The sequence below is a fragment of the Homo sapiens genome, chromosome 4 (genome assembly GCF_000001405.40).
Source record: "Homo sapiens chromosome 4, GRCh38.p14 Primary Assembly".
Classification (NCBI taxonomy): domain Eukaryota; kingdom Metazoa; phylum Chordata; class Mammalia; order Primates; family Hominidae; genus Homo; species Homo sapiens.
This window is the reverse complement of record NC_000004.12, coordinates 77,043,284-77,057,019: the sequence shown is the minus strand read 5'-3', so window position 1 is coordinate 77,057,019 and position 13,736 is coordinate 77,043,284. Positions and strand designations below refer to the sequence as shown.

Sequence of the window (13,736 nt, the reverse complement as noted above, 5' to 3'; positions counted from 1 at the left end):
AGCTTTTTTTCTGCTGGATAGAAATGAACTTTGGTTAATTGGCTTTGGTTGAACTTTGAGCAATGGAATTGATATTATTTTTGTAGAATATCATATGGCTAGGATTGTAATGCTAACAGTTAGCTCTCAGGCCGGGCACGGTGGCTGACGCCTGTAATCCCAGCACTTTGGGAGGCCGAGGCGGGCAGATCACGAGGTCAGGAGATGAGACCATCCTGGCTAACACAGTGAAACCCCCGTCTCTACTAAAAATACAAAAAAAAATTAGCTGGGCGTGGTGGCGGGCGTTGTAGTAGCAGCTACTTGGGAGGCTGAGGCAGGAGAATGGCATGAACCCAGGAGGCGGAGCTTGCACTGAGCTGACATCGTGCCACTGCACTGCAGCCTGGGCGACAGGCCAAGACTCCGTCTCAAAAAAAAAAAAAAAAAAAAAGTTAGCTCTAGACACACTTGATCTTGCAAGTGTACTTTCCTTCCTTTCATTACTGCTCTAAAGCTTTTTAATAAACTTTCTTTCCTGTTCTTAAAGTTAGCTCTGATCTAAAAAGTAATGAGTGGCAGTCACATTAATTGAATTCCATAGTATTTTGTGTATACCTGTCTCATCTGCATATCTAGGTTTTTAAAACAGTTACAAAAAGTTAAATTGTTTTTGAAAAATCACTAAAGTTGCTTTTTCCCTCTTCAAAATTTTAGGCTCATCCAAAATACTTGAGTTGTATTGCAATCAGCTGTTTTTTCCTAGCTGCCAAGACTGTTGAGGAAGATGAGGTAATAAATCCTTTCAAGATAATGTTTCTTCCGTGAAAATTTCTCTCCACATTTATTAACTTGCTTCGTTTGCTAAAACAAAAATCATAAATGAGTTTCTTTTCTGTCCTTTTCTCCCTGTCCCTGTTCCCCTTTGCTTTGGATAGAGAATTCCAGTACTAAAGGTATTGGCAAGAGACAGTTTCTGTGGATGTTCCTCATCTGAAATTTTGAGAATGGAGAGAATTATTCTGGATAAGTTGAATTGGGATCTTCACACAGCCACACCATTGGATTTTCTTCATATTGTAAATATACCTGAAGTCTTTTAGTTTCTTATTTGAGTGTGTAGTTTTCAGTAAATTAAAAAATAGATTGCCTACTCATTTATTTTGTACTGGAAATAGGAAAAAGAAAACTTGATATCCAAGGAAAAATTATAAATTAGTATATATGTCATATCACTGAAGCTTAATTCGCAGACTTAGAAATTGAATAGGTTAGGCTGGGCGCGGTGGCTCACGCCTGTAATCCCAGCACTTTGAGAGGCTGAGGCAGGCGGATCACTTGAGGTCAGGAATTTGAGACCAGCCTGGCCAACATGGTGAAACCCTGTCTCTACTAAAAATACAAAAATTAGCCGGGCATGGTGGCAGGCGCCTGTAATCGCAGCTACTCAGGATGCTGAGGCAGGCAGGAGAATTGCTTGAATCCAGGAGGCGGATGTTGCAGTGAGTTGAGATCATGCTACTGCACTCCAGCCTGGGCAACAGAGTGAGACTCTGTCTCAAAAAAAAAAAAAAAAGAAATTGAATAGGTTGCATCAATTTCTATATGTAATTTCCCAGATATTTAAATAAAGTTAAAATGATGTTCTTGTGATTTTCAGTTCCATGCCATTGCAGTGTCAACTAGGCCTCAGTTACTTTTCAGTTTGCCCAAATTGAGCCCATCTCAACATTTGGCAGTCCTTACCAAGCAACTACTTCACTGTATGGCCTGCAACCAACTTCTGCAATTCAGAGGATCCATGCTTGCTCTGGCCATGGTTAGTCTGGAAATGGAGAAACTCATTCCTGATTGGCTTTCTCTTACAATTGAACTGCTTCAGAAAGCACAGGTAGGTGTCAGTCTAATTAAATAGTGTTCTTTTTAAGTTTTTCTATTATTGGAATACATAGAGTTACCAAACTAAAAGACATTTCTCATGTTGTAATGGCAAACCATTCTTAAGAGTAGACAAGAGTAAAGTATATATTTTAAATTTACGGGCTAGGTGATCTCTTTTTTTCATATAAAACTTATATAGTATTTTTAAGATTCCTTTTAACCATTTCTCTTATTTTTAAGAATTCTAAAATGTTCATAAGATTGTCAATACCATATTGTCCTTTAGTTTTTTGTAAAGAAACTTCCTAGCTACATCTGTAGGTTTTAATGTAGTACTTCTTTACTTCACTCATTTTATAACGGATGTCAGGAACAAAAATTAGAATAAGTTGCTTTTTAGACAAGCAAATAATTTATTGTTGGCTAGTAAGTGAAGTATTTATACCAAACTGGCAGGTAGAAGCCACTTTTCTGAAAGAGGTTTTTCCCTGGCAGTTCCATTATTACCTAAGATTAGTTTGTAACTTGTATCTACAGATTATTATAAAATGTATAGGTTGATAAATTATCAACTACCTAAGTAAAATGTAAAGGTTCAGTGGAGAAAATTCTCATTCAAATGGAAAGTTGGTGAGAGTGCTGTATGTTAGCAACTACTTTGAGAGAAGGCTTACTGGTTCTATTCATGTCACCAAATAGAACTTACCGAGTTTAGATCTGCTGCAGACCATTTTCCTGCCACCTGAATCCATAAAAGACTCATGAACCTACTTTCCCTTTATATGGCTATTTATTCTTATTTAACAGTAGTTATTCTGATTTGTTTTATTGGATTTTACTTAGAAGATTGTGAAATTCTAAGCTTAACATTTTGCAATAAACTAATTGTAGCAAAGAACTGCAGTTATTGAGCTAAAAATTTAGATTATTATAAAAGAAAAACATAATAGTTGAATTTGGTGTTTTTCTAAGAAAGTTATAATTGATCTTATAGCAAACATTTTAAGAAGTATGTCTGAAGAAAATGAACCAGGCAAAAAAATAATTTTTTTTTTAAACAAGTATGTCAGTGCTTCCAAGAATTTTAGGCTCTAGTTTGTGAGCAGAGGGGAGCTCAGTCTTTTCATAAAAAGGTTGATGATCAGAGCAGTATGTTAGCTAGAGATCTACCTATGTAGTGTAACATGGGCTGTTTTTTGTTTTGAAGGGATATCTTAATTGTCTTAGATTAAAATAATTAAATGCTGTAATGAGAATAAATCCTAGGAGGTAGTTGCTACTTAGAATTTTTAGAAATTATGATAAACCACCATTTAAATGAATAATATGACACAGAAAATTTACTTTGCTCACCCTGGAGTGTTAGAAAGAAAAGTTGAATATTAATCACTCACATTAGACTGTGAAGTAGAGGAATAGGCTTAATAGAAAACCTCCTACATTACATTATTTTTATTGGAACAAATGACATCTCTCTAAATGCCTTCTGACTTATTCTCTGTGCTTACTCTCAAGATAGTACAGAAAAAGATTGCTTTAAAGTGTTAGTGTCAGAGGACAGATTTTGAAGCATAAATAATAATGTTGTAAATAGCATGTGTATTCTGTAGCTTTGAGATCATGTTTTCCTAGTGAAAAACACTGGAAAATCTGATACTCTTTTGTAAGTTTTCTGGTGCTAGAGGAAGAGAGTATTCACTGAAACTTTTTTTTCTTCTTAGCTGAAGGAGTATTGCAAACCTGGGATTTGACAGAATCTTTGGAGAAGTTATTTCATTCACCTCCTTTATTTTATAGCTCTGGTGTAGGGAACTGGAGACTTTCTTAGAGCCGTGTAGAGCTACTTAGTAGTGATTTAAAAGAACCAATGCTTTTTTTCATACCACACAAACCTTAAAAATTCTAGTTCAGTGGTTTTCATAATTTGTTTTAGAAGTGGAACCCTTTCCCAGTCCCCCTTCCCCAAAGAAAATCTTGTACACACACAATCCCAGAATATAGAATAGAAGAACGGAGCTATACTTGTGTTTAAGGGCAGATCTCCACTCAACATAGCGTTTTCCCTTCCATAGCTAGAAATCTACCTATGTAGTGTAGGTTTAGATTATATTATGTAGGTAGTCTTTGGACGTAGTTTGAAAACTGGAAATACAGTGAATTTTTTTTCTTTTTAAGAGATATGCCCCATGTAGTATATAATTGCAGTGGGGAAGTTAGTGAAGAAAAGGAAGGTCATAAATCTTGGTAGAGACTTTTGGGACTTGTTCTAGCAGTTCTCTAACACCAACCCATGTGGTCCAAACATGGATGGCTCCTAGTTCTTTAGGACTCATTTCTGTTTTTGCTAAGTTTGCTGTGTTCAGGTAGGGAACACCAGGTCTAATATCTTTGTGTTTAGACGTGTGACAAGGCCACAATATCAGATTTCTTCCTAGTTTTCTGGTTTTAATATAGGAAAGTCTTGCATCAGATTGATGAGATCATGCCAAAATTATTTGCGACATGATTCCCAGTGTCTTGGTTTGAGGAGAGTCCATCACAGACATACCGTGCTGTGAGGAGGCCACTCTCACTAGTTCTGCCTGAGCCCCCACTTTGAGACAAAGTATGGTGAGTGTTCCCAGGTTTGAAAGGCAATCTTCCTTTTGTCCCTGTTAACCTCCCACTACACCCCCTTAAGCTCTTGCGCCACCTGTTGGTCACCATTCTGGGATGGCTAAACCTCTTTCTCTCCTTAGCCTTATAAACTCAGGCTGTTAACTCTACCTAGATTAGTGTGGTGGTCTTTGTAGTTCCTAGCTGGGCAGTAGTCAAAGTACATGTTCTAGTTTAAAACTAGAGTAGGTGCAGCCATAAAACAGAACAAAATCATGTCCTTTGCAGCAACATGGATGCAGCTGGAGGCCATTATCCTGAGTGAATTAACGCAGGAACAGAAAACCAAATACCACACGTTCTCACAAGTGGGAGCTAAACGTTGGGTACACGCGGACATAAAGATGGCAACAGTAGAAACTGGGGACTACTAGAAGGGGGAGGGAGGGAGGGGAGCAAGGGTTGAAAAACTGTTGGGTACTGTGCTCACTACCTGGTTGACAGGATCACTTGTACTCCAAACCTCAGCATCATGCAATATATATCTAGTTAATAAACCTGCACATGTACCATCTAAAAGTAAAAAGAAGCAAATTTAAAAAAAAAAAAACAAAAAAACAGACCCCTCCCCACCAGTCTCCTGGTTCTTTTTGAAGGTGGCTGTGGTCAGACTATTCCAGCAGGTTCCTCAGTGCTTCATGCTGTTCATCAAACCTGGATCCATCTGGACCTACCATTTATGTCATTTATTGTTATAAAAAATAATACATATTCTCTTGACACCTTATAATTAGAGTTCATTTAAGTCCTTTTTATCAACTCCATTAGAGTACTTGTCTGGTGTCGAGAGTTTTGGTAGTTCCAGTATATGTGCTTGTTTTGTTTCTTCCACTGGATCTCAAGAAGGAACAAATTATTTTGGTGTCTTATAGAACAAATTCAGATTGTACTAGATTAGAAGGAATTTATTTTGATGTTATTTTGGAGAAAAGACTTACTTGGGACTTGGGTGGAAGTGGAGTTCATATGGATGGTTTTGTTTTGAATAATTTCTAAGGTCTTTTAGCTCTATCATTTCTTGTCAGTCTCCCACCGCTAAAATATAACTCTATTTACTTCGTTTTTTCACACAGAAAGATTATAGTGACATAGTCTTCCTCTTACTTAAATACATGTCTTTTTAGGATTCTGCCATAGTATTGATTCTGCCATGGCATTTATTATGCCCAGTGACCAAGGCATTAGAATATTTGTGGTACCTTTACCTTTTTAGGCCAATAAATATCATTCATTTGCTAAAGAACATTTCATTAAACGAGGTACAGTTGGCTCTCCATATCCATGGGTTTGGCATCTGGATTCAACCAACCGTGAATTGAAAATATTCAGGAAGAAATTTCACAGAGTTCCAAAAAAACCTGGAATTTGTGGCATGCTGAGTACTACATTGAATCTACACAGATGAAGTGATGTGTAGGCATTCTGTTAGGTATTATAAGTAATCTAGGGATGATTTAAAGTATACAGGACAATGCGAGTGGGTTATATGCAAATACTACATTATTTTATATAAGAGACTTGAGCATGTTGGGTTTTGTTATCTTTTGGGGGATCCTAGAACTAATCCCCCATGGATACTGTGGGATGACTGTACTTATTTTTTAGAAATAATTTCTACACTATAGCCCCTTTTTTACTCCCAGTTTCTTTCATTTTTTTTTTTTTAGGCTTCCTAAAATATTGGCAGAAGCTCCATCCTTTCTCTGTGCTTTGTTCCAATGTTTTTAGCATGTTTCAGCTTGTTCTACATCCCTGGGATATATAATAAGACCTAGCCTAAATGTAAGCTTGATAGTTCAGGGACTATCTTAAGTGTTATGTTAACTTTTTTTCTTTTAAGGGAGGGAGAACAAATTCTAATACTAGTTAATAGTGTCTTACCCACAGTGTGTTATCTAATGCCTTTCAAACTAGGGGAAAAAAATCAGTGAACATTATGGTAGATGCTAAAATCTGCCATTTTCTTGTATATTTCTGACAGTTTCAGTTACTTTGCATTTGTATTATACAATGACTAACATCAGCCTTTTACCATTCTTTCCTCTGGTATTTTTCAGTAACAAATAGTGAATGTATTTAGAGATAAAAATAATTTTGTGACCAAATGTGTTCTTGTAGAGTGCGTTATTTTCCCCTATTTTCTCTGTGGTATTGCAAACAGTCATGGTGAGTGCTGCAGGTTATATGAGGATAAGTAAGACTTGGTACAGAAATGTCCAGAATACTCAAAACTGGAAAAAAGTGATCCCTGATAGTTAAATGGTCAAGATAGGCTTCCTGAAGGTGATGGTGTTTAGCCAGTCCTGGAAGGAATGCGCAATACAATTTCAACAGGTAGAAATAAGATGATTAAGGGTAAAATAAGAAAGGGGAAGATTAGTGCATCATATAGAGCAGGACTGTTGAGCAAGAGTGTAGACCACAAGTTGAGGGTATGCTAGGAAATAAGGCTAGAAAAGAAGGTTGAGATCAGATTATGGAGATTCTTATTAATACTAAACTAAGCAGTTTAGCTTATTTCTGGTAGGCATTGGGGTGCCGCTGGAGAGAGCAGGGAAGGAATATATGATGCTAACTAAGGTTATTTTGACAATGCTGTAATTGAAAGTGAGGAAGAGAGACACTTTACTACAGGTAATAATTTAAAGGCCTTCCATGTACAGTCATTGTGCCAGAAACTTAGGGATAAAAAGATGAATATAATACAATGCCACACCTTTGGTCTTGTAGTCTATAATGGAAAGGCTAAATGGTTAAATAGATTATTATACTGAAATGTGGTAAATACGTTGAAAGGTTTTAGTGTCTTTTTTTTTTTTTTTTAAGACAGAGTCTTGCTCTGTCTGTTGGCCTGGCTGGAATGCAGTGGTTTGATCTCACCTCACTGCAACCTCCACCTCCTGGGCTCAAGCTATTCTCATGCCTCAGCCTCCTGAGTAGCTGGGATTACAGGCATCTGCCACCATGTCCTGCTAATGTTTTGTATTTTTAGTAGAGAAGGGGTTTCGCCATGTTGGCCAGGCTGGTCTGAACTTCTGGCTTCAAGCGATCCACCTGCCTTGGCCTCCCAAAGTGCTAGGATTACAGGCATGAGCCACCACGCCTGGCCATAAATATGTTAAAAGGTTGATATAGAAACAGATGACCGTGGCATTTAGAGTTTTGGGGTGTTGAGGGAGTCAGGGGTAACTCCAGAAAGGATTGATATCTGTGAATTGTCCTGAAGGGTAAGAAGGAATCAGCAAAACTCCCAAATTAAAAACTTTACCAAAAACATTTCATCTTAGTGCTAAGTCTACTATTTTCTACAAAATACATATTTCTAAATTTTTCATTTACTATTTTAAAATTCTTAGCTTCCCTCCTCATCCCTGATTAAAAAAAATTTTTTTTTTGCCCTTTGGCTTCTTACATTTTTAATGAATGTGTTTATGAGTACTTTGGACTCCACTGAAAAAAATTAGAAGAGGCCAAGAGAGTAGGATGAAGGGCCTTCCAGACAGGGGGAATAGACTGAAAAAAAAAAAAAAAAAAAAAAAAAACAGACGTTGGATACAAAAAAGTAGTTTCTGTTCTCATGTAAATGTTCAGCATACATTGCAAATACAAAACTCAAGTTCCAAAGATAATTATATTAGAAATACAGATTTGGACCTAATTTCTAAGATGATGTTGATGGATGGGTAGCTGGATAAATAAATGAGTTGGAGGTAGATGTGGGGAGAGAAAAGACTCAGCGGGGACGGAAAGCACAGGGAGGAAAAATGGCCACCAGAGATAACAGAGCAGCCTATGTTAATTAATGATCAACTGTGTGTGGCTTTTTTTTTTTCCTGGCCCAGATGGATAGCTCCCAGTTGATCCATTGTCGGGAGCTTGTGGCACATCACCTTTCTACTCTGCAGTCTTCCCTGCCTCTGAATTCCGTTTATGTCTACCGTCCCCTCAAGCACACCCTGGTGACCTGTGACAAAGGAGTGTTCAGATTACATCCCTCCTCTGTCCCAGGCCCAGACTTCTCCAAGGACAACAGCAAGCCAGAAGTGCCAGTCAGAGGTACAGCAGCCTTTTACCATCATCTCCCAGCTGCCAGTGGGTGCAAGCAGACCTCTACTAAACGCAAAGTAGAGGAAATGGAAGTGGATGACTTCTATGATGGAATCAAACGGCTCTATAATGAAGATAATGTCTCAGAAAATGTGGGTTCTGTGTGTGGCACTGATTTATCAAGACAAGAGGGACATGCTTCCCCTTGTCCACCTTTGCAGCCTGTTTCTGTCATGTAGTTTCAACAAGTGCTACCTTTGAGTGTAAACTAAGGTAGACTACTTTGGGAATGAGAACATGCAAAATCAGGAAAGGCTGTAGAAGGAAATATACCTTAACAGGCTGATTTGGAGTGAGCCAGAAAAAAAAAATAAAACTCTCATTATTTGTGTGGCTAATTATAATTCAGCGTTATTTAAGCACATAAAGACCAAAAAAAAAAAAAAGAAATCCAAAAGATCCAAACTTTTTTTAAACTTAAAAAATCTCTTTGTAGTATGTCAGTTGCACTTTTTTTCTGCCATAATGTAACGTAGCTTGCCCCGTCAAAAATTCAATTAAAATTCATGGCCAGCAATCCTGTTCCCCCTCAGCATCCTGATTTAATTTTCCTGTTGCTTTTGCTTGCTTCTCCATTTAATAGTTACTGAACTTTATGCATGTTGATCTATATTGATTTTCACTGCAGTTGAATGAACAAATTATTTCAGTGTGACAGCCATGACTCAAGTTCCAATTAGTCTGAAAAGGGTACTTTGGAATTGTCCCATATTAATCAGAGATGGCAAAAGAAAAAGTTCTCATATTACCAGGTTGATTTTGTGTCTCATTTCAAATTTTAATTTAAAATTATGGTTTTCATTTTTGTTTACCTTAAAGTGATGCTTAAAAGTGGCATGTAATTAGGACACTTAGGTTTGTTGAAAGCATTTTCGACATTTGTATAAAAGAATTTGTGATAAATATATCCAGGTGCTCACCAAAGAAACATGTATTAACAACTTAAATTAGATTTTTCTAACTGATAGTTTTCACTCATTTATAATCAGTAGGAGAGACTGTCTAGATGTTGGGGCAGCTCTATGATTTAAGTCTGTAACATGTTATAACTGAATTTAGTACCCTAGTTTTGTTAAGCTATTAGGATTTTCTAATAGAACTTACTCCCCCTGCCTCCCCAGCCTTATGTTTCTTTTAATGACTTCTGGATCCTGAGCTCCCTTTGCAGTCTGAAAAAGGTATTGCAGTCAGAACTGTGTACTGATGATAAAAGCCTCTGGTAGCAATAAAAAGTTGTCCTTAACTTTTGTTTTTGTGACTTTTTTCTGGTTGTGAAGAGGTACAGGTTCCTGATTGGCTAGGCACTGCTATTTCAACTAGAGAAAACAATAGAAAGACCAAGAATACACTTACTGAAAATAAAACATGAAGAGGATCTGAATGTGATCGAGGGATATAGGTTTTAGACATAAGAATTTTTCTTTCGTGATATTTTTTCACTGGTGCACTGTGAATCCTCCAAATAGTAAATTTACATCTTAATGTGACTGCTTGTGAGAGTAGGCTCAGACCCCTATCTTTAAAATGTCATTTTTAGCCATTTTGTAATGTTCAGATTTAGCAGAACAAGAGTATTTTCAGGTCATCATCTGATTTGTAAAAAATTCTTGTGGTAGGGTTGACTTACCTGTTTTATGACCTTAAAATCCAATTAAATGGGAAGCATTTACTCACATGTCAGTAAAGGGAGTGGGAGGGAAGATAGCAAAGGATTGGCTTCACAGATAGACATTTTAAAAATTTCTCATCCTGATCTTCATCTGTTTAATTCATCTGAATTGTAGGAGCTCTAAGAAGTTTACAACTGCATATGTTCATAGTATCTGTAAAATGATACAGATACTATGAAACTTCCTCCTATTTAACAGATGAGGACATAGTTGTGTTATGTAGACAGCTAGGGATAAAACTGAGTTTAGAGTCAGTATTTCATTTGTAGTCCAGTAGCTGCAAATTGAGCAGAATGTTAGAGGACAATAGGATTTTCACTTTTCAGTCTTAAGGTTTTCAACATTTACAAATTGCTGGTAAGTTAGTTTGGAACACAGCATTCTTCTCATGGGACACCGAATCAAGTGGGATAGTGGGCTGCTAGCCCTCATGCCTCAGAGCTTATTTAACCCATCGTTCAGTTCAGTGATAGTTTTGGAGACCTGGCCCTCAAAAGCACTGTTAAACCTTGGCCACCATTTCAGAGGACTGAGCCCACTTCCTCACAACTTACTGTGGGCCCTTAGAGAACTGTGGCTTGTGACAGAAAGAGCCTAGTATTCTTGAACAGTGTAGAACTTTTCATTAAGAATGTTCCGGTCGGGTGCGGTGGCTCACGCATGTAATCCCAGCACTTTGGGAGGCTGAGGCAGGCGGATCACGAGGTCAGGAGTTCAAGACCAGCCTGACCAACATGCTGAAACCCCATCTCTACTAAAAAATACAAAAATTAACCAGGTGTGTAATCCCAGCTACTCGGGATGTTGAGGCAGGAGAATCGCTTGAACCCAGGAGGCGGTGAGCCGAGATCGTGCCATTGCACTCCAGCCTGGGCAACAGAGGAAGACTATCAAAAAAAAAAAAAAAAAAAAAAAGTTCCTGCTGTTCAATTAGTTCCTTTTACCTGAAACTATTCTCAGCCTGTCCCAAGTTACTTGTGTTAAACTTTGGCATCACATCACAAACTCAAGATCCAGAAACTTGAGCACTCTGCATCATAATTGTCTTGTGCCTCCTGGTGGTTAAAAAACCTGTCGCTCCGTGAAGCCTCTGGAAAGGCAAGGGAATATACTTGATGGGGATAGTAGTTATTCTCTAATCCTCCATTCAACCAAAAAAAAAAAAAAAAAAAAAAAAACCTAAACATGTTCTAGCCCTTGAAGATCAGACTGGAAGCTAAATATTTTACTTCTTCATTCTCTACGAGATGAATATAAAGTTAGTTATATAGAGAACTATAAGTTTTCTCTACAGATAGACGATGTATTAGTTTGGAGGGAGAAGGGAAAGCTGGGAACGCAGAATGCTCCCAAATGTCAGTAAAAGGTCAAATATGACCAGTTTGTCATAAATGTTCCTGATGCTACCTTTGGCTGTGAAGGAAGGTAGAATGTAGCTCTTCACTCAGCCAAGTTGAAGAGAATCTGAACCTATGTTCTTGAGAGAATTAAGACACTGGTGTTTGTGCCCCCAAGAAATACTATGTATTTTCTCCTGTGTTATTAGAGTCAGCCACTTGTGTGTGTCCTCTGTGCTCTTTACAAACCTGAATTTTCAAGCTATTAAATTTACTCCTAGATTTCCTGAAGCAAGTTATGCTTGAGCATTAGTGCCCAAAGCAGCATGGTGGCTTTTCACTTGAGAAGAAAATGTGGTTAAGCTACTGATGTACAGCCAACATGATGAGGAGCTTATCTTTATCTAAAGTAGTTTGCACATTTTCAACTGGAAAGCGAAGATACTATGTCACAGGTTCTCACAACCAACCTGGCAGAATGCATCCCCAGTTTAACAGGGTTCAACTTCTAACTCATCTCAAACGTTTACCCTTTCTATTTGACATCATGAAGTTTTGTCTAACATGTAAATGTTACTTCTAAAGCCTCGAAAATTCTTTCAGTCTTTATGTTGAGGAGAATGTCTCCTATACCTGTTATCAAATAATGCTATGAGTTTTGGCCACTAGATGGTGCTTTTAGAAAAATACAGCATCTTTTTCAATTTCTGGGAGAAATTGAGTTGAGTTTACTGTATGTTAGTGAGCAGTTGAACACTCATCTGGTTGCTGAGCCAACTGTGTTGGCTTAGTTAGAAGTTCATATTACTTAAGGTACAGGAGGCCTGTGTGTGTGAGAGACAGGGAACTTTGGCAAGATCAGCCAGGGTTAAGGGGCAGATGGTGACTGGATACCACGTTTCAGACCAAGAAAAACCAGAACCAGTCTTACAAATCCCAATTAGTGAGTTGTGTGGTTCTGTAAAGTAGCCTAGAAATACAATTGGGAAGGCTTGAATATAGCCAAGTCCCAAAACCTTGCTGCTTTCAGTTTGAATTGGATTTGGCCAATCATTAGGAGAGAAAAATTGAAGAGCACGCTTACTTAGCACAGCTTGCATCAAGAAATAGCAAGTTTTCCCTCACCATATTTAGTGGCTTTTATGATGTACTCGTATGTAAGACCAATGTCAGACATAACTCTCCCTTGTGCCAGTTTTACTTTAAAAGGCGTAATAAGATAACCAAGAATGTCTTATCAGAGAAATTTGAGAAGAACTCACTTTTTTAGTTCCTAAGAGCCTCTGGAGTTAAGGATGAAATGAGAAGGATGAAATGCCTTTCTCTTAACTCTAGAAGTATAGCCTTCATACCAGATCAAATGCCAGAATTGTTGACCTTATTGTGTTACACAACAGTAAGGTTGTAAAAAAGCAGTTTGAATAGCCCTAGGCCTAGTGAACTGGTCTCCCATTTCTTGGAAATAGCTTATTTTGTTAGGCAATAGGACACTCCAGAATGAAGGCCAACTTTAGGCAAGCAGCCACGACAAAGTGACTGGTGGGGAGCAGAATCCTTTTTGCTTTTCAGGATATGATCTATCTTCAGCAAACGACTTAGCATAGAAAAGGCTTGCCTTTTCTTTCTTTCACTCTTAACGTTGCTGTGCTTATATGAGTTATACAAGTTCAATTCATAGTGCATGGCTAAATCCCCAGTACCTAATGTAGGCCTGGTGCAGTATACACAATAAAGTATTTGGAAAGAGGGAAGGAGGGGTTGGGGGAAGATGGATGAGTGAATAAGAAAAAAAGACAAGGAAAGCTAGAACTGCAACTCTCCAGAGTTCTAAACACATTGTTCACAGTTAAGCCCAGCTCTTTTGTTTATATAAGAGACAGGGTCTAGGTCTGTTGCCCAGGGTAGAGTGCAGTGGCACGATCCTAGCTCACTGCAGCCTTGAACTCCTGGGCTCAAGCAATCCTCCCACCTCAGCCTCCTGAGTAGCTAGGACTACAGGCACACACCACCATGCCTGGCTAACTTTAAAAATTTTTTTAAAGATACGGTCTCACTATGTTTCCTAAGCTGGTTTCAAACTCCAGGCCTCAAGTGATCCTTCCACTTC

The 13,736-nt window shown here is 38.0% G+C and overlaps 1 protein-coding gene across 10 annotated transcripts in view; it reads left to right on the top strand.

Annotated features, from left to right (window-relative positions):
* Positions 1-9,865, top strand: part of CCNI (cyclin I) — a 28,835-nt gene extending 18,970 nt beyond the window's left edge. For 5 of the 10 annotated variants that reach the window (NM_001348134.2, NM_001348132.2, NM_001348136.2 and 2 more), the window contains 4 exons: positions 697-771; positions 918-1,058; positions 1,640-1,870; positions 8,358-9,865. In NM_001348134.2, coding sequence (NP_001335063.1) covers positions 697-771; positions 918-1,058; positions 1,640-1,870; positions 8,358-8,801 — 891 coding nt within the window. In that variant the 3' untranslated portion in view covers positions 8,802-9,865. The remainder of the gene's footprint in view (positions 1-696; positions 772-917; positions 1,059-1,639; positions 1,871-8,357) is intronic. The other 5 variants (NM_001348139.2, NM_001348137.2, NM_001348138.2 and 2 more) reach the window with 4 other exon arrangements.
* The last annotated feature ends 3,871 nt before the right edge of the window (positions 9,866-13,736 follow it).